Below are 25,783 nucleotides of genomic sequence, written 5' to 3' on the forward strand. Positions count from 1 at the left end.
AAACTAGCTGGATGTGGTGGCACATGCCTATAGTCTCAGCTACTTAGGAGGCTGAGGTAGGCGGAAGATTGCTTGAACCCAGGAGGTCATGGCTGCAATGAGCCATGATTGTGCCACTGCACTCCAGCCTAGGCAACACCTTGTCTCCAAGAAGAAGAAAAAGTTTTGGGAACATTTCTTTTTTTTTTTTTTTTTTCGAGATGGGATCTCGCCATGTTGCCCAGGCTGGTCTGGAACTCCTGGGCTCAAGCGATTTGCCCACCTCGGCCTCCCGAAGTTCTGGGACTACAGGTGTGTGAACCACCATGCCCAGCCAGTTTTGGGAACATTTGTTTTAGAAGAACTTGTTAGGAAAGTTTTAAGTTTTTAATGACAGAACTTTAAATACATGAAATTTTTTATTAGTGTGTGACAAAGTATATTACAAAAAATTTTTTTCAGCCAGGCATGGATCATGCCTGTAATCCCAGCACTTTGGGAGGCTGAGGCAGGTGGATCACCTGAGGTCAGGAGTTCAAGACCAGCCTAGTCAACATGGTGAAAACCCATCTCTACTAAAAATACAAAAATTAGCTGAGCATGGTAGTGCATGCCTGTAGTCCCAGCTACTCGAAGGGCTGAGGCAGGAGAATCACTTTAACCTGGGAGGTGGAGGTTGCAGTGAGCCGAGATTGCACCACTGCACTCCAGCCTGGGCGACACAGCAAGACTCTGTCTCAAAAATAAAATTAAATTTTTTCCCCCACAACATGGGTGAAAAAGCATTTTTTGAGGCAAGCATTTAAGGGTTTGATTTTATAGCTGACCTTAAATGTTATGTGTAATTCATATATAAATGTTGCTGAACTAGAACATTAAAATTGTCTTTTTACCTAATAGGTTAAGTTGGAATATCATTATGTAAGATTGAGTATTTGAGAAAATTAGCAATTACTTTGAGAACCTTATGCGTGGGGACAGGGGTGAGTATATTTGAAAAGGTATGAGAAAGTAAGGTTGTCTGTGTGTCTTATTTTCTCTTTACTAACGTATCAGGGTGGAGAGTAGGACAGTCACACGACTTAGACATACTCCTTTATCAATACTTTTGGAAAATAGCTGTGCTGTCAGCTTTTTGAGGGGGGGATTTGTTTTGGTCAGTCAGTTTTATCATAAATTTGGCATTTGGGTTAAAACAGCAACATGGAACAAATAATTTTTAGATGTTGGAAATTCCTGGTTTTTTTTGTTTTGTTTTGTTTTGTTTTTTTGAGACAGCGTCTTTGTCACCTGGGCTGGAGTACAGTGGCATGATCTCAGCTCACTGCAGTCTCGATGTCCTGGGTTCAAGCAGTCTTCCCACCTCAGCCCCACAAGTAGCTGGGACTATGGGCGCATGCCACCACGCCCAGCTGTTTTTTGTCGTAGTTTTTGTGCGGAGGTCTCCATCTGTTGCCCAGGCTGGTCCAGAACTCTTGAACTCCAGCAATCTGCCCACCTTGATTGCCCAAAGTGCTGGGATTATAGGCATGAGCCACTGCCCAGCCTGGAAATTCCTGTTTCTTTAAATGAATCATGGATATTTGTCTGCTAAGAACTTGACTAGAAGGCCAGGAATAAACTGGACGACCTGGATACCCACCTACTTTAGACTGCTGCATTGTTTAGCAGACATAATCTCTATAGCACAGCACTGACTATCCAGAATCTGTACACATTCTTTTACATAATTATATCATGATTTGTATTGGGTATTAATATTAGCAAATTGGTTGACCCTACTTGTCAGCCTATATTGTCCACTAGCATCACTTAACTGCTACATTTTTCCTGGGAAGTAGAATGTAGGTGAAGAGGAACAGAAAACATATTTTGAAAATTTGTGTCTTTTCTGACAGTAAAAATGGTATTTCACTGCATTTCTTTTTCTAAGACATTGAGAAAATGCCCCATCAATCATGACTATTCTTTTATTCTTGATCCTACTTGTGAATTTGCAGATATAAGTTTTTGTTAGCCAACAACTAGATTTAGTTAGCAACTCATACATTACATTAGATTGAGTGTGTTGTATTGCTTTAAAAAGATCCGCTAATTTAATTATCACACAACCTTGTAAGTTGGGTACTCTTATTATTTGTATTTTCCTACTTCATAGATAAGAAAACTAATATTGGGATAATTATGTACTTGTTCACAGCTAATTTGTAAGTGGTAGAACTGATACAGTACTCAAATCAGGCATTTCTGATTCCAAAGATTTTTTTTTTTTAACTGCATTACTGGTTACTTGTTACTTCTAAGTTAAAAAATCTACTCAGACTTTTTAAATCTGGAGGAGCTAAAAAAAAAAAAGCAAGTATAATTGATTAGCAAAGTAGTTGTTTTAAGTATTACTAAGATGTATTAGTAATAGAAAAAAAGAAAATAATTTATTTTTATTTTTATTTTTATTTATTTATTTTTTTGAGACAGAGTCTCGCTCTGTTGCCCAGGCTGGAGTGCAGTGGCGCGATTTTGGCTCACTGCAAGCTCCGCCTCCCGGGTTCGTGCCATTCTCCTGCCTCAGCTTCCCGAGTAGCTGGGACTACAGGCACCTGCCACCACACCCGGCTAATTTTTTGTATTTTTAGTAGAGACGGGGTTTCACTGTGTTGGCCAGGATGGTCTCGATCTCCTGACCTCGTGATCCACCCACCTCGGCCTCCCAAAGTGCTGGGATTACAGGCGTGAGTCACTGTGCCCAGCCAAGAAATTAATTTTTTTTTTTTTTTTTTTTTTTTTTACTTTTAAAACCTTTTTGTTAAAAACTGGAGCACAATCACACATCTAGGGCCTACCCAGGATCAGGATCATCGAGATGTCACTAGGCCAATCAAACAGATTTTTCAGCTCCAATATAATTTTATCAAACCCCTATTGTATATGTGTTTCATTGTTGACTGAAACATCATTACGCAGCACGTGACTATAATAGAATAATTTTTGGCAATGCAAAGGAATGAACTGATGGACACAGCATGGGTAAATCTTAAAATCATGCTAAGTCAAAGAAGCCAAATACAAAAGAATATATAATGCATAAAGGGGGATGGACTTAAAAGGGGCACGAAGAATCTTTTGGAGTTGATGGAAATGGTCAGTATTTGATTAATGTTGTTTCAGAGGTGTATACAGCTGTCAAAACTCATTGAGTTGACCACTCTAAATGGATTCACTTGGTTGTATATAAATTAAGCCATAGTAAAATTGCTTACAGGAAATATGCTGAGGAAAAGACATCTAACACAAAGAGCATAAACTTTGTGATACCTTTATTTGAAATTCTAGGCCAGGTGTAGTGGCTCATGCCTGTAATCCCAGCACTTTGGGAGGCCGAGGCGGGCGGATCACAAGGTCAGGAGATGGAGACCACACTGGCTAACACGGTGAAACCCTGTCTCTACTAAAAATACAAAAAAAATTGGCCGGGCATGGTGGTGGCCACCTGTAGTCCCAGCTACTTGGGAGGCTGAGGTGGGAGAATGACATGAACCTGGGAGGTGGAGCTTGCAGTGAGCCGAGATCATGCCACTGCATTCCAACCTGGGTGACAGAGCGAGACACTGTCTCAAAAAATAAAAAAAAAATAAGAAATTCTAGAAATGATGATTTTGATCTGTACTAACAGAAAGCTAAATAATTGTTGCCTTGGGTGGCTTAGGGGAAATTGACAGGGAGCAAGCACCACAGACAACTTTGGAGTGATTCTTTAAATCTAGATTTTAGTGATAAAAATGAATGTACACATTTGTCAAAATCAATCACAATTTACATTCAAAATGTTGCCTTTTGTAGGCAAGTTATATCTCAATAAACGTGATTTTTTAAAAAAAGTTAAATGTGAAGAATGTACACACTTATATAAGAAGCACACAAAATGGGGTGATCAGTGCCTAAAGATATATGTGAAAAGAGGGACTATCTAGTGCTTCACTATTGAAGAATGAATAAGAATTTTCAGTAGGAAGTGGGTACGTTACAATCTCTGTCAGAGATTGGAATAGAGAATATTCCTGATGAAGAGATGTACAAAGAGGAATGGTTTAGTGCTTATACTTAGTGCTTGTGCTTTAACCAGGTAATGTGGTATTGGCACTAACTTAATTGAATCTTCACACCAATCCAGCACCATTGATGGTTGCCAGAAAGTAGCGTGGTTGGGATTGAACACGTGTTTGATAGCAAAACCTGCTGTTATCCACAGGGTGTGAATTGTTTGGTATGCTTTTAGTCTAAGGATTTATAGAAGATGAGAGGAAAGATGGTTGGAATGTTATTATATTCTATGGACAGTTGTGTCTGTTGGGTTCTAATCAAAATATCAAACCGGTTATTTCAACAGAGAATGATAATAATAATAATAATTATTATTATTTTGAGACGGAGTTTCACTCTTGTTGCCCAGGCTGGAGTGCAGTGGTGCAGTCTCACCGCAACCTCTGCTTCCCGGGTTCAAGCAATTCTCCTGCCTCAGCCTCCCGGAGTAGCTGGGATTACAGGCATGTGCCGCAATGCCTGGCTAATTTTGTATTTTTTAGTAGAGGGGGGTTTCCTCCATGTTAGGCTGGTCTTGAACTCCCGACCTCAGGTGATCCACCCGCCTCTGCCTCCCAAAGTGCTGGGATTACAGGTGTGAGCCACTGCACCCAGCCGTCAACAGAGAGAATTTAATATAAAGAATTTGTTAACTAGGTATAAAGTAGTTAACCAAATAATTGACCTTTTCTCTTTATGAAGAGCTTGATTTCCAATGGTTTCATTAACCTAGGTATTAAAGTATGATAGGAAAGAAGAGAACTTGGCATCCCAAATGTATAATGTATTTATATTTGTTTTTACATTTAATATTTATGATATTAACATAATATCTCACCTGTTAAGTATTAAGCAGCTCCTGCCTACCCAGCATTATTTTAGGCCAGGAAGTCTTTCTGAGATAGACACCCCTTTAGGGAGCTCACAGATTCTAAGTCTACTACATTGGGTCTCAAAAATGTGATCACCTGACTAGTAGTATCAGTATAACCTGGAATCCTGTAGAAATACAGATTCTTGGGCTTCACCTCAGATCTTCTCTACTGAAACTCTAGGAATGGACCTCAGCAATCTTTGTTTTGACAAGCTTTCCAGGTGATTATGATACACACTTAAGTTTGAGAACCACTAGCCTAATAAAACAGGACTTGAAACAGCTTAGGGATTTCACATACTGAACTGAAGGTTACAATTTTTCTGGGTCTGAGTTTTTCTGGGTCTTACCAAATTGACTGCAGTATTAAATCTACAAAACTTCAAAAGTCAGTTAGAAACAGCATTAAAAAGTGCAAAAAGCGTGTTTGTATTCTTTGTATTTGTAGCTATAAACACATTTTGAAGGTAAAGATATTAATCCAACAGCAAGGTACAAATTACTTTCTTTTTTTTATTTTTTTATTTTATTTTTATTTTTTTTCACAAATAGCACTTTTTATTTGCCACTATTTGAAGTCTGAACTTTAAACAGATTCTTGGACTGGTGGTTCAAAACCATCAGCTCGTTCAACTTTAGCACCTCTCTCGTCCCCAGTGGCTTTTCCAGAACTACTGCCTTCACCATGAAGCTCCATGAGCTTTCCCAATTCAAACTTGGGCTTCTTCAGCATTTTTACTTTTCTAACGAAGACATCATGGAGAGGATAGATTGGCAAGCCTTTTCTATGTCTTTTCCAATGCTGTCTGGAATCAATTTATTGACCACTTCTTTCAAGGCATTTGTCTGCACCTCTCGGGTCATGATTTCCATCATCTTCTTCCGGATTTGGCGGACCCGTTGGTGCTGGGCATAAGAGGTCTTCTGTATCTGATTGTTGCGTTTTTTAGTAAAACCAACACAGAACAGACGAAGCAAGTAACCATCAATAGTCCTGACGTCAACGTGAGCTTCAATCATTGTCTGCCATTTTTTGACCATGGAACACATTTTGTCACAGGTAAGATCCATGCCATGGAAGTTAGGCAGTTTTTACCCTGAACATCTTCAGTAATCAGCTTGAATTTTCTAAGTGCAACTTCATCATTCTGCAAATCAGCAAGACTCACTTCAAACACACGACCCTTGAGACCATCAGATGCAATTTTGGTTCCTTGGGTCCTGGTGATGAGCATCTTTCCAATATTTCTTATATTGAACATAGCAGGTGCTTTCACATCATACCAATCTTTCTTAGAAAATGGATCAACCACTTTCTTCTTGGCCCCCTTTTTGCTGCCTTTCGTAAGGTGCTTGTTCTTGCCAACCGCCATGGTGCTGGTCAGAGAGCCAAAAGGAAGTTACTTTCAAATGAAAGTAAAATGAAGTTGAAACTAGACGAACCTCTAGATTTTTAAATCCAGTGTCTTTAATGAGTCAGAGCCAGCTGGACTATACTCATCATCTTGATCAACCATAAGCACTTCAGACAGATTGTCCAACTTATTTTTAAATACTTCCTGAAAGTAAATAAGCTAGAAACTGGAAGGCACTTGCATTTCTTTCTGTTGTAGCCAGTCACCTCATTTTGCCAGTTGTCTCCTAGTAAATTCTTGAATGTGCATTTCATTCTTATCCCAACCCCCAGGGCAAGTCTGTAGGTGCCTTTCTGTGAAATAGAAAACTGCACCCCCTGCCCCCCACCCGCCCACTGCCAGTCACCCATCAAACAAATTAGGAAAGAGCCCTTTTTCATCAAGTGTAGAAATACACATGGCCTGGCAAAGCATGGGCTGCATTTCAGTATCTACTCCATCCCCTTGGCTGGGTGCTATTTATTGTGCAGGGTGCAGTTTTTACCACTGTATGCATCCACCGCATGCACACTGTGAACTAGGTAGTGCCACCATTATACATTAAGATACTCATATCTCACCTGAGCTATACTTTCCTTTAGTTCACTTGAGTTTCGATTTCTCTCTTTTTTTTTTTTTAAGCATAGTTTCTCACACTTGGCTTAGCTATAAGAATCTCTCAACAATATTTGCTCTGAATATAAAAACCCATGAATAGATACTAAGCTAATCATGTTGTTAGATCATTCAAGAGTCATCTTCAGGCAACTCCAGGGTCTGGAATATTTGCATTGTGGGTGCTGTTACATTAGTATATTCACAGTTTTTTCCCCCTCATCTTCTTCATGATGGTACATTCACAGATTTATCTTGGCATTGTTTTACCAAAGAATCTAAGGTGGATTTCCCCCCTACTGTGTTTCTTACATAAAAGCCAGTATCCAAGTGCTGTGCTTCATAATAATTCCACGTCAGGTAATTTGTATTTATAAACTAGTTTCGCTATCCTAGCTGACACGCGCTTTTTTTCCGTGTTAAAAACAGGCACTGTTTTCTTTCTAGCACTGAAATTGAAAACAGAGGTGTCATTGTTTTTAGCACATGATCCATCTAACCAGTGCTGCACATCTTCAAATTTGCCAAGTTAGGAAAAGTACTTAGTACCCTTGTTTAATGTCTTAGGTACAATAAACTATTAAACAAGTTGCTTACGAGTTGGCTGCAACATTAAAGCTACGAAACTTCAAAAATCAGTTAAAAGACAGCATTAAAAAGCATAGAAAGCATGTTTATGTTCTTTGTATTTGTAGCTGTACTCATAAAGGTAAAGACATTAATCCACAACAAAGTACAAGTTACTTTCAAATAACTTGCCACAGGTTAAAAAAAAATTTTTTTTGCCTCTTCAAAAAGCCTCAAGGCTGGGCGCAGTGGCTCACACCTGTAATCCCAGCACTTCGAGAGGCCGAGGTGGGCAAATCACCTGAGGTCAGGAGTTCAAGACCAGCCTGGCCAACGTCGTGAAACCCCATCTCTACTAAAAATAAAAATAAATTAGCCGGGTGTGGTGGCGTGCTCGTGCAATCCCAACTACTCAGGAAGCTGAGGCAGGAGACTTGCTTGAGACCGGGAGTTGGAGGTTGCAGTGAGCTGAGATTGCACCACTGCACTCCAGTGTGGGTGACAGAGCAAGACTCCATAAAAAAAAAAAAAAATCCATAATGCAAGTTTTACACTTTTCTTTCGATAAATGGTACATGGACTTAACCATGCAAGTAAGAATGATTTTTGTATTAAGATTTTTGAATTCTGAACACTATTAAATTTCTGTTCCATAGTTGTATCTGTTGAGAGCTAATCAGAAAAACTAGTTATTTCAACAGAGAGAATCTAATATAAAGAATTTGTTAATTAGGTATAAAGTTGTTAACCAGATAATTGAGAAGGCAAGAAAGTAACTCTAAGGTACTTCCAGAGGAAGCAATTGTAAAAACAGCTACCACTCCTAGGGTTGGAGAAACAAAGAGAAGGGATTGGAATTATTAAAACTGAAGCATAGAGGAGGAACCCCGTGGAGCTGACCTGAAAAAGAGGGCATTGCTTGCCTGGTGCTCAATGGAGAGACCTAGTTCTCAGAGGATTCAGTACTGAGGGGTTGGTTTGTCTTGGGGGTTGTACTATGAGCCTAGGGTTGAAAAAACTGCAAATTAGATTCCGTTACTGCTTCAGAAAGGAACTGCCGATGCTGGGGTGAAATAAGGCTTGGGTGATGCTGACAGGAACAGCCACCAGTTGAAGTCAAGGGATGCAGATAGAAGCATATCTCCTCCCTCTTCCAAACTCTTCTATTGGCAAAGGCTAAATGTGATTTGCACTCTCAAACCTAGCATCACAAGACAGAAGGATGAACTTGGAGATGAATAGACAAGAATGTACACACATCTTCAGACTTTCAAAGTTAGGGGGAACTAGCTTAAGGTTTTAGGTACAATCGACTAATTACGGATCTTTAACCTTTGGACAGATGTTACAGCTGCTGAGTTTTAAAAGTCAGTTAAAGGCTGGGCATGGTGGTGTGCACTTGTAGTGTCAGCTTGCTGGGAGACTGAGGCAGGAGGACACTTGAGGCTGAGAGTTTGAGGCTGCAGTGCGCTAATGATTGTGCCTGTGACTAGCCCCTGCACTCCAGCCTGGGCAACATAGTGAGACCCCCATCTCTAAAGAAAAGAAAAATTTAAAGTCAGTTAAACAGCAGCTTAAAAGAAAAGCATACTGGGCATTCGAGTATTTCACCTTCTGTATATTTGAATATATTAAGGTAGCAAACTATGTTATCTTCACATAATTGTCAAAGGATTTAGACTTTTCAAAAAAGGTATAACTTCACTAATTTCCATTTGTCTTTTCTTTGTATTGTTAAATAAAGTGTAATCATGTCATTGAGAAGAACTTCTATTATAATATCCTGAGTAAGGGATTTAAGTTTTGACTTGTATCATTATTAAATTTCTATCCCATACTTGTAAATACTAATTGTATGCTTTTAAACCTGTATGTTTTAAATTCAGAGGTAATTGCAATAAAAGAAAGCACACATACCAATTTTCTTATAGCAAACAACTCCACCAGAATCCTTAAATCTAAGATGAAGTCTAAATATGTCACTTAGTGCATAGAATCCCACAGTGGTTTCCTGTCAAATTAAATACACGGTCCTTAGCCTGACATTTTAAATGTCTTTTAAGACAACCTCATATGATAACAACCTACTTTCCTAGTATCTCTCATTACTTTCATTTTTCTCTCCTGAAAGCAAGCAGGCTGGACTGCTTTCCATCCCTTAGCAGGCACAAAAATTTTTAGGCTTTTGCTCAGATTGCTCCTCACCTCTCGCATGCCTTTTCAGTGGTTTTTCTCTCTTTATGTACCCGTCAAAATCCTACCCCTTCTTCAAAGCCATCTGCAGTTAATGAACCTCAATGAAGTTTGTCCTCATCTACACAAATGATACTCTTTCCCCACAATACCTTTTATTTTTCTCATAGGTGTTTTACCCAGAGACACACTTAACCATCTTTAGTATCTGGCTAAAATTCTGTTAATATAAAATTCTACTCTTAATATTTCCAGATATTACTCATTATTCCCTTTCGAAAGTCTGCCCAGACTTTGCACCCAGATTTCTACACCTGATGCTCCCCTTGATGTCTTAGGCATGCTCACTCATGACTTTTTTTTTTGTTTTTTTGGTATTCTAATTCTTTTTGTTTTGTTTTGTTTTTTTTTGTTTGTTTGTTTGTTTGTTTTTAGTAGAGATGGGGTCTTGCTATGGTACCCACGCTGGTCTCCCAACTCCTGGTCACAAGCAATCCTCCCTGTCTGTCTGGGAGCAAAAGGAAAGCAGTTTTTGCGTGACTCAGCTCCCAAGCTTATCTTGCCCTTTGATATAGTGAGTTTGGGGTCTTGAGATTTTATTTTCCTTTCACAGCATTGTTTAGAGACTATGGGTTGTAGGCCAGGTGTGGTGGCTCAAGCCTGTAATCCCAGCACTTTGGGAGGCTGTGGCGGTCGGATCATTTGAGGTCAGGAGTTCGAGACCAGGCTGGCCAACATGACAAAACCCCATCTATAATAAAAATACAAAAATTAGCCGAGTGTGGTGGCGGGCATCTGTAATCCCAGCTACTCAGGAGGCTGAGGCAGGAGAATCACTTGAACCTGGGAGGCGGAGGTTGCAGCAAGCCAAGATCGCACTACTGTACTCCAACCTGGACAACAAAGCGAGACGCCGTCTCAAAAAAAAAAAAAAAAAAAGGAGAATATGGGTTGTATTATTTCTACCTTCAGAATTCATTACTAGCTTTTTAGTGGCTTAATTATACTTGATCAGTGTTTTTTTAAGTGTGTCATGGGTGGGTTAACATTTTGCCTGTTTTTTTTTTAATTTATCCTAATAAAGTTGTCATTGGCTTCATATATAACTTGCTGATAGCTATTTCTCTGTATATGGTAAAGCAAGATTGTATGTATAAGTGATCCATTGCAGTTCTTGATTGTACCTTTCTTCCATGTTAAAACATACTTATGTAGTGTTTTGAAATATACTTTTAATATTATCACTTCTTTAAATTTTGTTTTAGCATTCACCTGGTTCATTCCTGTCCATCCTTTGATTTTCAGCTATCTGAGCCACCGTGCCTGGCCTTCCTCTGTTATTGTTATCTAAAGTCTTTTCAGTATGCCTATAGGCTGGTTTTTATATTGTCATTGTGAAAATCCAGGTTTTCAATTGTTTTATATAGTGGCTGTTAAGGAAATAAACAATTTAAGTAATTTGGGGGGGGGCATAAATAAGTCTTAACCAAAAAAGATATTTTATCATAGAGGAGGAAATAAATTCCTCATCGAGACACCTAAAAACAATCAGTCTTAACATATTGGTATATATTCTTTGCCTACGTATGGAGTGAGAGGGGGATGGAAGAAAGGGCAAAATGGGGAATAGGTTTCTATGTCAAATATCTTCAGTATTATTGTTAATTCACTTGTTTTGTAAACTAATAGCTTATCCTCTTGAGCAGGGAAGAACAAGTATTCTTTGTGGTATATAAACTTTAAATGTTTGAGGAATGAGTAGAAGAAAGACTTGAACTTCTTAATTTTTTCTTTTTCTCTCTGAAGATTTCCATGGAGAATGATTATCTGGGACCTCGAAGAATTGAGAGTCTACAAAAAGAAGATGCTGATTGGCAGCGGAAAGCTCACATGGCTGTACTGTCTATTCAAGATCTTACTGTCAAGTACTTTGAAATAACAGCTAAAGCTCAAAAAGGTAGGTTTCTCAGTAAATTTATCCTTTAGGTATTTTTGAAAATGAGTGGTTAAGTATTTTATGTTCAGAAAAATTACATAGAAAAGTATATAAAGATCACTCATAATCCCAGCAATTAGAGAAAACCACTATTAGCAAATTAAGGCACATCCTATCAGTCTTTTCATAGATACATATATTTAAATATATATAATTTAAATATGAATAGTAAATAATTGTGTTTCTACTAACATACTGAGGAAAAAACCATAAAACCTCACAGAATTAATGCTTTCCTGGAAACTTTGAAAGTTAATAACACCGGACATGTGAGAGTATTTTTAAAGTTTCTGAAAGCTAATTTTATAAGTGTTTTAACTGCAGAACGTTATTTCTGAGGACAGATTGAAGACATTAGAATCTAAGATACTCTCAAATTATGTTTTAGAAATGTCGGCCGGGCACGGTGGCTCACGCCTGTAATCCTAGCACTTTGGGAGGCCGAGGCAGGTGGATCACAAGGTCAAGAGTTCAAGACCAGCCTGGCCAAGATGGTGAAACCCCATCTCTACTAAAAATACAAAAATTAGCCGGGCATGGTGGTGGGTGCCTGTAATCCCAGCTACTCGGGAGGCTGAGGCAGAGAATTGCTTGAACCCGGGAGGCGGAGGTTGCAGTGAGCTGAAATCGCGCCACTGCACTCCAGCCTGGGCAACAGAGCGAGACTCCATCTCATAAAAGAAAAAAAGAAAAAAGTTATAAGCAGTTTATCATGACAGCAGGATTTGTTTCTCTTTGTGTGGTCAGTGAAATCTTTTTCAAATGCTTCAGTATTAAGTTGTTATTTGTCTTAATTTCTCTTTAAAAAATTATTAATAGCTGTGTATGATCGAATGCGAGCTGATCAGAAGAAATTTGGTAAAGCATCATGGGCAGCGGCTGCTGAACGGATGGAAAAACTCCAGTATGCAGTTTCTAAGGAAACTTTGCAGATGATGAGAGCTAAAGAGATATGCTTGGAACAGCGGAAACATGCACTAAAGGAAGAGGTAACAAAAATCATCAGAAATATAAAATCAGAAAAAGTTACAGTTTGTCATTTTAATCTTTGCACAAGACATTTTTTTGATTCGATAGGCAGTGATTTTATGCCATCTTCATGAGATGAAAACACTTAGAATAGGTCCTGTGACTTAAGTTGTCATTAGAAGAGTTAGACGTAGCGTATTTCACAGCATCACAGTGTGATGGTTGGCAGCACTGCACTGTTGATCAGAGGGGCCAGCATCAGAATTTCTTAGTTGCTGTAAAGTTTTTAATACTGTAAAAACGTAAAGCTTTCCAGCAATTATTAAGAAAGTATCACTGACCAGAGAAATTCAGTAAAATTTCTAAGGCAGTGGCATTTTGTTAGGATTGATTATATAATGCTTTTATACCATTACATTTTGGAACTTCCCATTTTATTCCTACTGGAACACACTGGTCTCCCCCATCTCCCACCACCTCTGTACCCGCTACAGTCACTGTCTATCCTTTTTTACTATTGACAGTTATAAATATTCATACCCATTTTGTGGGCTGCCCTCATTGGCTTGAAAACACTGAGTACATATTTATTAAAGTAGCACATTTTAGTTGCTAGAGAAGAACAAATCATCATCTCTGCTTTAGTTATAAGAATACAGCATTATGTAAAATATGTATTTTTTTGGCTTAGGTTGTACAGCAAGATGGTTCTCATTGACATTTTTGAAGTGCTTATGCTCATATACACTTTTTGTTGATGGATTTTTATCATTATTTCATTTCCCCCTTATTTTTATTTGCTGGTTATTAGAAGGTAAAATTGGAACTTGGCTTATCCGGGAAATTGTTCACACTTTATATTCAGAATCGCTGTGCATGGATTTCATCCCCATCTCATGTTCCCCTGAGGCATTTCTACTATAATATCCTTTTCTAATTAGCTTGTTCCCCTCATGTTACTGGCTCTCTGGAGTTGTCTTAAATTCTAGAACTTTTAAACTTAAGTCCCTCTTTTTGCTTATAATAGAGTACCACCTTTATCTTCATCTTTGTTGTTGTTGTTGAAACAGTGTCTCATTCTGTCACCCAGGCTGGAGTGCGATCACAACTCACTGCAGCCCTGACCTCTTGGGGCTCAAGCAGTCCTACCTCAGGCTCCTGAGTAGCAGGCACGCACCCCCCCCAACACCTTGCAAATTTTTATTTATTTACTTATTTTTTTGTAGAGACGAGGTCTCCCTATATTGCCCAGGCTCATCTTGAACTCCTGGGCTCAAGCAGTCCTTCTGCATCTGTCTCCCAAGGTGCTGGAGTTAAGGTCCATGCCCAGCCCGTCTTCATTATATTATCTAGCATTATTGTTCTAACCTGGCTAACACTGAGTTATTCTGTCAGTGGACAGCTGCCTAAGAGAGCAGGGGAGGGTAAGATTTCTGACTACTCTTACTGTAGTTGGTCTAGAGTAGTAGAGGAAAAACGAGCATGAAATGGGTCCTGAGAGTTTGAGATGATTATCTTGGGGAGTGGGGGGGGTCCTATTCCCTGGGGCTGTCCCATTAATGTAATAGTCTGGATTGTATTTGAATTCTTCACAGTATTTGTTAAAACTGCCAGCTGTCATTCTTGCCAGGTTTATGCTTGTTTTGTGTATAATTTAGATAGGTATTGTGCTTTGTATCTATGTGTGGTGATGTACCAATTTTATTAGCATTAATTTAACATGCCCACATTACTCATGAGAAAGAGAGTAAATGTGAATTATTAAGCCCATTCCAGAACAGTTCTTTGCCAGTAGAGGTTTTGCAAAACAGTACTACCCTGTGATTTGTCCCCATAGGTTATTTTTAAAACAAAGTTCTTCTTGATGTGACAAAATTAAGACAACCCTAAAAATGAAAATGTTTTTAATTTAAATTTAATTTAAAAATTAAATGTAAAGTATTTCAGAATATTTGCCACAAGCGTAATACCATACTTGAAATAAATGTTCTGAATTAACACTGAAATATTAAATATTACCTAAGCAGGCAAAATTCTGTTTGACTTGAAAGAATTAACTGCTCTTAGGAGTTGATACTGTTCCTTTTAATTTATACCCCCTTTAACTTTTTAACTTTTTTTAACTTTTTTTTTTTTTTAAATTAATTTAGTTAGTTAAAATAGAGACAGAGTCTTGCTGTGTTGCCTAGGCTGTTCTCTAACTCATGGCCTCAAGAGACCCCTCATGTCATGGACTCCCAAAGTTCTGAGATTATAGGTGTGAGCCACTGCGTCTGGCGCTGAGTCTTAATTATAATCATTCTTACCCCTTTTAGGTCATTCTTGCCCCTTTAAGAATATGACAACCCTGTACTCAGAGTAATGTACATATATATGCAATTTTGCACACAATTTTAGTAGGTTCTCAAATTATCTATATCTGAGCCTCTTATTTCAGAATGACTGCCCATGTTCTGATTTCCTCATCAAAACTGCTGAAAATACTGTGTTTTTAGCCCAATACCTGTGAAAGAATCCTTTGTGAGTTTAACTAGTTGTAGCTACTTTATTCTACTCTTTCAATAGTATACTCCCCATCTAGATTTGGAAATAATAGCATAATCTGACCATGCAAGTAAGTCTTTATTTTCAGTTCTATATTGTTAATCCAGGTTATCAGATATAGCTTACGTTTTTTGTTTTAAACTATTGGACAAGATTAAAATACATACAACCACACAGGATTAGGAGTAGAGTATATGCTGGAAGTGTTATTAAAATAAGGATTAATGTTGAAATAAGGAGATTTTCTATATAGTTATTAATTGAAATAGATGATGATAAAATTAAAATGCCATCATGAGGTTGGGCATGGTGGCTCACGCCTGTAATCTCAGCACTTTGGGAGGCTGAGGCGGGTAGATCACCTGAGGTCAGGAGTTCAAGACCAGCCTGACCAATATGGCAAAACCCTGTCTCTACTAAAAATACAAAAAATTAGCCAGGTGGGTGGCGTGCTCCTGTAGTCCCAGCTACTCTGGAGGCTGAGGCAGGAGAATCGCTTGAACCTGGGAGGCAGAGGCTGCAGTGAGCCGAGATTGTGCCACTGCACTCCAACAGCTTGGGCGACAGAGTGAGACTCCGTCTAAAATAAAATAAAATTAAATTAAAATGAAATGAAATAAAGCCATCATGAAGCAAATCATGAAACATCTGGATTAAATTGTAGACTTCTATTTTGTGGTTAACCGGGATTAACCAGAAAACCCTTTAGATTCCAATTCGTGTGGCTGAAAGACTTTAAAAAGTATATCAGGGCCAGGCGCAGTGGCTTATGCCTGTAATCCTAGCACTTTGGGAGGCCAAGACGGGCGGATCATCTGAGGTCAGGAGTTCGAGACCAGCCTGGCCAAGATGACGAAATTCTGTCTCCACTAAAAATACCAAAAATTAGCCAGATGTGGTGGTGAGCACCTATAATCCCAGCTACTCGGGAGGCTGAAGCAGGAGAATAGCTTGAACTCAGGAGGCACAGGTTGCAGTGAGTCGAGATGATGCCACTGCACTCAAGCCTGTGCGACAAGAGTGAAACTCTGTCTCAAAAAAAAAAAAAAAGGTATATCAGTGTGCTTTCTTTCCCTGGCAGAGGATTTTAACAATTCCCCATCTATTTATAATTCCTTGATAATTTCTCTGAACATACATAATCTAATAGAATATGAATGCATACTAGTCTTGAAGATTAGCTACTTATTTTTGTCTTTCTCCTACAAGCATGTAGCTAAATTATGATTAACTAAGGTTATATTCCCCTCTTTCAGTTTTAATTCGTCAAGTATTTATTGAGCATTGATTATATACCATGGTGGATATGAGCTTAGGATTTGGACAGTGCTGTCCAGCAGAACGCCCTGTAATCATGGAAATGTTCTATGTTTACCCTCTCCAGTAGGGTAGTTTTCAGCCATATGTGGCTAATGAGCTTTTGAAATGAGGCTTATGCAACAGAGGAACAGCATTTTAAATTAAATTTAAATAACCACATGTGGCTTGTGGCTACCTTACTGAACAGAGCACCTCTATAGATCTCAGTTCTGCAAACTTAACTCTTTAGGAAAGCTTCAGTGAGTTCCTTAACCTGTCTTTGAAATGTAAATATTATATACCTTCTGGAATGTTATGATTTCATGAGTTAATGCATATAAAGCATTTGCTATAGCACTTGACATAGAGTAAGACCTGGATAAATATTAGTGATTATTACTATAATTGTATGTTATGTTTTGTGCCAGTATCCCAGAAGGGAATACAGAGAAGAAAAAGATACATAATTTCCATGCTTAAGATGTTTACTTGCCTCAACCAACATTTCAGGGTTCACAAAGCATGCTGTTGACTAGGTGATGTGACATTTTGTATGGGCCTTGCCAGAAACTTCCAATAGTAAGAAGCTGTGATGTGGTAGACACAGCCTGAGTCTGAGCTGAGGTGGGGTTTTTGAGGTCCTTGTCCAGGCAAGGAGATTGGTTTTTAGTTTTCATTTTATTTGTCAATAAGTAGATTATTCCATAGGTGCACACTATATATTTCAAAGAGTCTAAATACAAAAAGGTAGGTTCCACTCTAAAGGCCTTAGTTTATCTTAAATTCTGTTTTCACCATATGAATTCTGTTTTGGCAGCAGTTAAAGTTTAAAATGTTTTAGTCCCTGTCCTTAGTGCTTTATGTGTATTATCTTGTTAAATTCTCAAACATAACCTTTTATGCTATAAGCCCAAAACCATTATCTGAATTCCCTGAAGACAGATATATTTCAGAATCCCAGGGTTTTTTTAGATTTTAGAAAGGTAAGATAGAGCATATAACTTCAGACAAGTGTTATTAGTCCACTAATGAAACACATGGTCACATTAAATGGAATACCTAAGGATTAAAAATAGTTTATGAAAAGTTCAGATCACATTTTTCCACAAATGGATTGTGAGATTTGGTTTGACATTAAATTATGGGAATTTTCCATTTTCCAGGATTTCTGACATGTGGAATTCAGATAATTCTGTCAACTTGTGTTACCCATATTTGTGCAGTTGTTACTGGTGAAACCTGTATTTATACTCAGGCTTGTCTGTTACTAATTCTCATGTTCATTCTTTCTACATAATAGGGCTAGTTTTGGTTGAAAACTTGCCCTTAACATCATTCACCTTATGCTGTCCAAGGTTTTTATGACCCTTTAAAAAAAAGATATAGCCTTGCCCTGTCACCGATGCTGGAGTGCAGTGGCACGATCATAGCTCACCACAAGCTCAAACTCCTGGGACTCAGAGTCCCTACTGTCTCAGCCTCCTAAGTCACTAGGATTACAGGCACATGCCACTATGCCTAGCTATGACTTATTTTCGAACCCTCATTTCATTTCTTGTTGACTGCATATTTTCTGTAACTCAAACAGTGGTGGATGCTCAGTGAGTATTTTTTGAATGAATGATTCAGTCCACAGGTAGCTCTTTTAATAGTTCCTCTAATGTCATTGGAATTTTCTAGCACAGTAGGGTAAAAGGCAGAACAAGGGCATAATTCATTTGCATAGTTTGCAAAAAGTGCCATCTGGTTTCATGATAAAGTACAGTCAAAATAGGTATACATGAAAACTACTTTATCATTATTACACATGGTGAGAATGATTGTGGAGTCAGCAGGGTATGTTGTACTTACATGGATGTATGGACATGAATTGGTACTTCATCCCCTTACTAGATTTGCTGTAAAACAATAACAATAACACTTTGATATTTTTCCGTCTTTTTGGGCTGGTAATCCCTAATTTTTTCTAGTGGAAAGAGCACTCTTGTAGGAATCAGGAGAACTGAGTCTAGCTCAAACTTTGCTAGTCATTACCTGGATCACATTGGGAGGTTACAATTTGGTTTGGGGTACTGGTATCCTGATACTTGAAGTATGTTTAGGAGAGTAAAAGTTGAGCTAAGTTAAATTTTAAGATGGCCAATTTTTCCTTTGAGTATTTAAACTACTTTCAGGGCTTCTTTCTTCTTGCCCAGGGAAGCACTGCTCTCAGATATAAAAAAGACACCCCATTGTGGCACCCACCTTCCCTGCACTGCTCCATTATCTGGAATTAGTTCTCTTTTCACCCTGGATTCTGTTTCTCTTAGTTCTGTGGCTGTCAGCTGAGGACAGGAAAACTCAGTCTGGAAATTTCAGATGTTAAAACAGGGAGGAAATTTGGAGCAGGGTGCCCGCTCCATACCTCTTCATGCCTTATACTAAGGATTTTGCCTCCACATTGAAGATTAGATAGACCTCAGAGTATTATTTTGCCCTCACAGATTTCTCTGAGTCATAGCATCCTTTTCTCCTTTGCTGATCTCATAAAAGTCCTGTATGTTCTGGTTCTACAACCCTTTAGCTTTTCCCAAAGTCCACCACTGACCTATTGTTTGTCCTTTCAGAGGTTGGGATTTAACAGACTCCTTCACTGCTTGTCTGCCTCTGATGAGGTTTTGGTTATCTTTAGACCACAGCCCTTGGCAAATCCACGTCTGGACTCTTGGTCTAGATAGAACTCACCGAACCAAAAAATTGAGGGTGAGGTCACTGCTTGTAAGAGAATACCTACTTCCTTTCTCAGTTTGATTTTTGATATTGAGTGTGTGCTGGTAGCACTGCGCTTCTCAAGTGCTTTTAAAGTACCCTGGCTCTGGGCTGCAGTCAGAGTACTGTTCTCTTTGTGGTTGAGAAAGCTGACAGCGTAAAGGCATGTCACTGGGGGACTTTCAACTTTTTTCCTTAGCCAAGAGATTGGGCAGGAGAGAGAAACTTACAGAGTGCTAGGGGAAGAACTTAGCAGAGCATCATGAACGTAGCAGAAAATGGTCACTTAGTTGGGTAGAACCAGAGTAGTGAAAATGAACTCACAGCCTGGATCTGAACAATATCACTGGAAAGTAATCTTAGATTAAGGTTTTTAGACTGGTTTACACTAAGGTTTTAACTTAACGATTCCCCACTTGAGAATAAAGCCTTCTAACATTAGATATCTTACCTGTTTGTATGCTGTGGTAATAGAGAGTGTGGGTGCAGATACTGGAACAATGTATATCCTACAGCTGTGTTTGCAGAGCTGGGCAAGAGCCCCAAGAGAGTATGAAAAGGGATGTTTATCATCTAAAGTGGCGAGTCCACGAGTCTCAAGGTAGACATTATTCCTTGGTTCTTATTTTATGACTTAGGACAAAAACAACAGTTCATATTGTTCACATTCCCCTCCCTAGCTGCTATAATTAAACCCACTTTGGGGTTATATACGTTGTTTGTCACCCATAAAATATTTCCTAACACAGCGGGATCACTCACAGTCTTACACTTAGATAATCTATTAAGTATCCGTTTATAAAATATTCATAAAACAAAGTACCACTGTATTTAATTCACCTGGTTATTTTTAAATTTTTACAACTGCACGTTTAGACTGGAGCCTAACCATTGCTTTTCAGTTCAAAATTCTTGTGAAAGGGATTTGAAATTATATTTTAAGGAAAAATATTCTAATTATTGGGTAAGACTGTGTAGATATATAGACTGTAAAGCAAAAGCTGGAATTTTCTTTAAAACGTATTCTTTTTATGTGCTGACAGGTTTTACCAACCTCGCCAGACAAAAGGGATCATTTAGGAAAATAAGAATTCACTGTCTTTTTCCCTGTAGGTTGTCCCTGTACAGCCAGTCAAGTATTTCTTTGGTATTCTGGGACCCCAGTGATGTCTCACATGAGCTCGTAAACAATACTCTTAATAATTTTCCCTTTTGTTCCTCTCGTCTCCTCCTTTGAAGGTCACTCCTTGGGAAGCCACTTGAATCCAGGGCTCCTCACTATTGCTCCTTTGGCTCTGAGGGCACACTGATGCCCGTATCGGGGCTTTCCTGGAGCTGCTAAGCATGAACCTTTAAACTACCAAAGCAGTGGTGCTATGTTCTTGGAAGAATGCTTACTGTCTCACTCTAGAGAACTATGCTTGTCCTTCACATCTCACTGACTCTTGAAAAGCCATTCCTTTGGCTTCTTTTATCTGCCTTTTTCCGTACAGCCAAATAGAAAGCCATAGAAATAGTAGGGTTAGGAACCAGTTATCTAAAGTACACTTTCCCCTTGGTGGTTTCCTTCATTCCTGGCAAAAATTTTCCCACTCCAGCACCGAGAACTGACCAACCAAGCAAACCTCACAGAAGACCATCCTTCACTTTATGAGCCATGCCCAGAAATTTCTGGATCTCACTTTAAGTTCAGCCTAGGACGTTGATTACATTTACCTAAAGTGACACCTTACGGATTGCAAGGATTTCCATCTAAAGCAATTGTCTTCTGCTGTTCCAGTCACATATTCTCACCTCACTCTATAGTCAGCAGATCCCAGAACCTAGCCAGTCTGTGACCATGGAGCAAAGCAAAACCCCAGATATGTGGCATTAACCAGCTTTTACCATTCTTGTAAATATCTGAGAATAGCCCCGTCATTTTCATATATCTCTGTGAAAAGAACAACTACATAACTTAGCATCCACTTTTGAGAGGGAAAGCATTTATATCCAGATGATACATATATTATTACCATAAATATGCATAAGTATAACATAAACATTAAAACCTTATTTTTACCATGTTTGCCTACTTCCACCATATAATATGACTTGATTATTACTGTTTTATACATATATATATATATATTTTTAAAGTCTAGATTCCATGCCTACAAGTTTCTTTCTGAGAGGAATTACTTAATAGGTTTATGCTATCTGATTAGTATTAATTTTTAATACTAACTCAATTTTCTTGTCCCCACCAGCTAGAAATTTTTTAATTTGTATTTTCAATGCAGATGCAGAGTTTGCGGGGTGGTACAGAAGCGATAGCACGATTGGATCAGTTAGAAGCTGATTATTATGATCTGCAACTTCAGTTGTATGAAGTACAGTTTGAAATCTTGAAGTGTGAAGAGTTACTATTGACAGCGCAACTAGAAAGCATCAAAAGACTTATATCAGGTATGGCGTGCATTTAACCACATAAGTTCACCAAAGATTGAATACATGAGAAAATACTTATGGACTAGGTATGTTTCTTTTGTTAAGACATTTAAAAAATTGTTTTCTGTAGGGATAGAGTGTGGGGGGGTGATTTCTAGCATTTATTGAGCACTTACTGTTTGCCAGATACTGCTAAACACTTTGCATACATTCACTCTATGAGGTGTATTAAATAATAATCACCACTTACAAAGAAGCTTAAGAGATAATGGCTTTGCCTGAGGTTGCAGAGCCAGTAATGAGATTAGAACCTTGTTCTTTCCAAACCCTAGCCCATATTCTTTACCACTACTCTTTTTTGCTGTTCTGTAACAGAAAAAAGAGATGAAGTGGTATACTATGACACTTACGAAAGCATGGAGGCCATGCTGGAGAAGGAAGAGATGGCAGCATCTGCGTACTTACAGAGAGAAGAGCTGCAGAAACTTCAGCAGAAAGCACGCCAGCTGGAAGCAAGACGTGGACGGGTTTCTGCCAAGAAATCCTACCTCAGAAATAAAAAGGTATTTAAATATTGCTTTTGTTCATTATTTAGTCTTTTATCCGTATCTACTAATCTCATCTGTTTTGTCTTTAAAACTTGCTTATGTTTTAAAACTAAGTAAGCACTATCTCTTATCAGTGCTCAATGCGTTTATAGTGCTCTGAGAATTGCCCTCTTAAACACATTGGAACAGCCAATAGTGATGTTCTCTTTACCTCTAGAAACACTAATGGTGACTCTGCTAAAGGCCTTGACTACAGGATCCCTGATAATGTGATTCCTGGCTCCCTTTTTATTTAAGGAGGCCCAGCGATGTTTTTTACAAGCCCTGATTCTGACCTTAAAGAATTTTATAGATTGTTATTTCTTTATTTAACTTTGATTACATTTTAGAATGTTTGATTCTTGATATTTGGAATGACTCATTTTGTGGAAATGTGATTCTTCCTGTGTCTTAAAAAATGTTTTGCACTCTAGTCCAGATGTTAACTATCGTGGAGCTGTTTCTAGTCACTGTAAGTGTAGAGTTGGAATCTGGAACTAGCTCTCCAACCTAGACCAAACTGATGACTGTGTGGTACTGATTCGCTTTAAGCTCAAGTATTATAAAAGTATGTCATGTTCTCTGAGAACCCACCTTCCTGCTCTTCACCACATTCCAAGGCTACCACTTCCTCATTCCACAGAAAATCAATACCTTTGCTTTTTGAAATAGATAGCTCTTGCACATTAAAGAAACTCAGACAGGCATGTATCCACAGTAAGTCAAGAACCCAGGACCTTCTATCACGTTGTCCATCAACAGAACAGTTACCTTGCCATCCAGAGCCCTGGCTTTCACATAATTATGTGCCTTTGCTATTTCCCCGTGACAGTGGTAATTGAAACCCACTGCTGTGTCAGCCCTGGTTGTGAGCTTCATTTCACGTTCCAATCTGCACCAACCAGGTAAACATTGCAGGCTGGGCGCGGTGGCTCATGCCTGTAATCCCAGCACTTTGGGAGGCTGAGGTGGGTGGATCACCTGAGGTCAGGAGTTCGAGACCAGCCAACATGGTGAAACCCTGTCTCTACTAAAAATACAAAAAATTAGCCAGGCATGGTGGCACGCGCCTGTAATCCCAGCTACTCGGGAGGCTGAGGCAGGAGAATCGCTTGAACCCAGAAGGTGGAGGTTGCAGTGAGCCAAGATGGCACCATTGCACTCCAGCCTGGACAACAAGAGTGAAACTCCGTCTCAAAAAAAAAAAAAAAAAAACATTGCAGTGATTTCAGCAGGTCTTATAGAACAGTTTTAGGGGAGAATGAAAAGTAAATAAGATTTCAGAAGAGCACATTTTTGAGGAATATTAGGAGTATTTTATATATTACTTTTAGGTGTATAGTGCAGTACTTTTGAGACTCGGAATTTGCAAACCTGCAAGTTTTTGAAAATGCTATGCAATTCAGACTTAATTGAAAGTCTGATTTCATTTTAATTCACCAGTATGCTAGGCACATTGTTAGACTTAGGATACAAAGATGAGCAAGGCATAGTCCCTGCTCCTCCTAGTCTTTTAGAGAAGGCAAACCAGGTGAACAGATGAGTGTTCTGCCGGCCAAAAACAGCAAGAGCAGGGAGTGAGGAAAGGCTTCTCTGAAGAGATGACACTTGTACTGGCTTTTAACATCTGAATAGAAATTGGCCAGATTGATGGTGTTGGGGTAATTACAAGCAGGACAGAATAGTTTTTAGCAAAGACACTGAAGCAGAAAACAGCATGGTTTGTCAGAGCATTCTACATTGTAAGACATGCTGCAGGGCGGGGACCAAGTTATGGGAAATTTTACATACCACATTAACAAGCCTGAGCTTTGTCTGTAGTATAAGTTAAGCAAAGGGGTAGTATGAACAGATTCACATTTTAGCAAGATAAGGCAGCATGAAAAATAGGTTAGAGGGAGAAGAGATGGAAAGGTTCTGATTGGAAGGTGTCATTATCCTCCACCTCAATAAGGTTGAGAGGTTAAGACTATGAAGTAAGTGGGTGCCTGTGCAGGGTAAGAGATGGACAAATCTTGAACTGTCTAGATCTGACACTTTGCAGAAAAAGTTAGTAGGATTTAGTGATGTGGTGAAGGAGGGAGGAAGAGCCATTCTCTATCAACCCTCTGGTTTCTGGATTGGGCATTGAGGTAGATGATGGTGTCACCAACCAAGATGGAAAACCCAGAGGAAGAGCACATATGGGTGGGAGGTGATAAGCTGAGTTTTAGACTTGCATATAAGAGGTCTTGGGCATCCAGGTAGAGATGGCTGTGAGACAGTTGAGACAATTGGGCACCTGGGTCTTATAAGAGTGTATGAGATGGTCTCAGAACAACATACTGAGCAGGTGATTTTTAAAATATTTTATTTATTTTTTTATAGAGACAGGGGCTCACTATGTTGCCCAGGCTGGTCTCAAACTCCTGAGCTCAAGCAATCCTCAGCCTCCCAAAGTGCTGGGATTGCAGGTGTGAGCCACTGTGCCCAGCCTGAGGAGGGTGTTCTTAGGAATGATGAGGTGGAGGTGGGAGGCTGATAGGAAAGAGCAAGGGAAGGTGGTGGAGCAGGATAGATACATAGTTTGAGGAAGAAAAACCTTCATTGTATTTAATATTTGTAATTCAGGAAGCAAAACGTTCTTGGCTAGGGGTGAGAAAGCATTGTAAAGGGCACAGGCTATGAAAGACTGAGCTGCTGTGATGTAGTGCGAGGAGAAAGGCTCTAAGGAAAGAACACTGGGGAACATTTGAAAGTGTGTGCAGAAGAACGGGATCAAAGAGAAAGGGTAATCGAAGTTGGAAGAAGCAGGAGAGCTCGAAGTCATAGAAGTGAAGATGATGATTCCACACAACAGGATGGTCAGTAGGCTCAGGTGCTCCAGAAAGGTAAAGGAAGAAAGAAATGACTCCATGACATCCAATATTGGGAGACTATTGGGGCCTTATGTTCAGAGTTTCGAGAAAAGTTGTGGGCAAGGAGTAGATCTTGGTGGTCTGAGAAGGGAGTGCAGCAGAGGTTTAAAGCAGTGACTGACGGAATAGCAAAGGAAACTGTACAGGTGAGGGGTGAAGAGGAGCAACCTTGGTGACCATGGCCCACAGAGCTGTGTACTCTTCTAGCAGTATTAAGAGCTTCAGGCTGAACTTAATACCGGCTTAATACCAGCTCTTCCCTTGTTGATAAGTGTTAGCTCATAGCAATTTAATCAGTATTCTTCAGTCTTCATTTCTGTGTTAATCTAAATCTGAAGTAGGGAAACCCAGCCTTGGAGAATCTCTCCATTTACACTTGTGTGCCTGTACCCCAAGCCCAGCAACTGAGGTGGCAGAACTGCAGAGGGAAGGAGTAGTGAAATAAGGAAGGGTGGTGAAAAGATAGGAAATGCAAAACACTAAGTCCTAAAAAGAAAAGCTACTGAGAAGATCAAATATACAAGGAAAAACAAATGTCTCCCTATGTAACATAATCCTATATTCCCTTGTTTACATATCAACATGCCCAAGGTCACTGGCTTCTTGGTTTCTCT

At 39.1% G+C, this 25,783-nt stretch overlaps 1 protein-coding gene and 1 pseudogene across 1 annotated transcript in view; one reads left to right on the plus strand and one right to left on the minus strand.

The window, feature by feature from the left end:
• JMY (junction mediating and regulatory protein, p53 cofactor) overlaps positions 1 to 25,783 on the plus strand; it is a 91,081-nt gene that overhangs the window by 42,485 nt on the left and 22,813 nt on the right. The window contains exons 3-6 of the mRNA NM_152405.5: positions 11,506 to 11,656; positions 12,515 to 12,684; positions 21,538 to 21,703; positions 22,061 to 22,248. Of these exons, the coding sequence (NP_689618.4) occupies positions 11,506 to 11,656; positions 12,515 to 12,684; positions 21,538 to 21,703; positions 22,061 to 22,248 (675 nt within the window). The remainder of the gene's footprint in view (positions 1 to 11,505; positions 11,657 to 12,514; positions 12,685 to 21,537; positions 21,704 to 22,060; positions 22,249 to 25,783) is intronic.
• On the minus strand, positions 5,473 to 6,327 carry RPS3AP20 (RPS3A pseudogene 20; annotated as a pseudogene).

This window comes from Homo sapiens, chromosome 5 (genome assembly GCF_000001405.40).
Source record: "Homo sapiens chromosome 5, GRCh38.p14 Primary Assembly".
Lineage (NCBI taxonomy): Eukaryota > Metazoa > Chordata > Mammalia > Primates > Hominidae > Homo > Homo sapiens.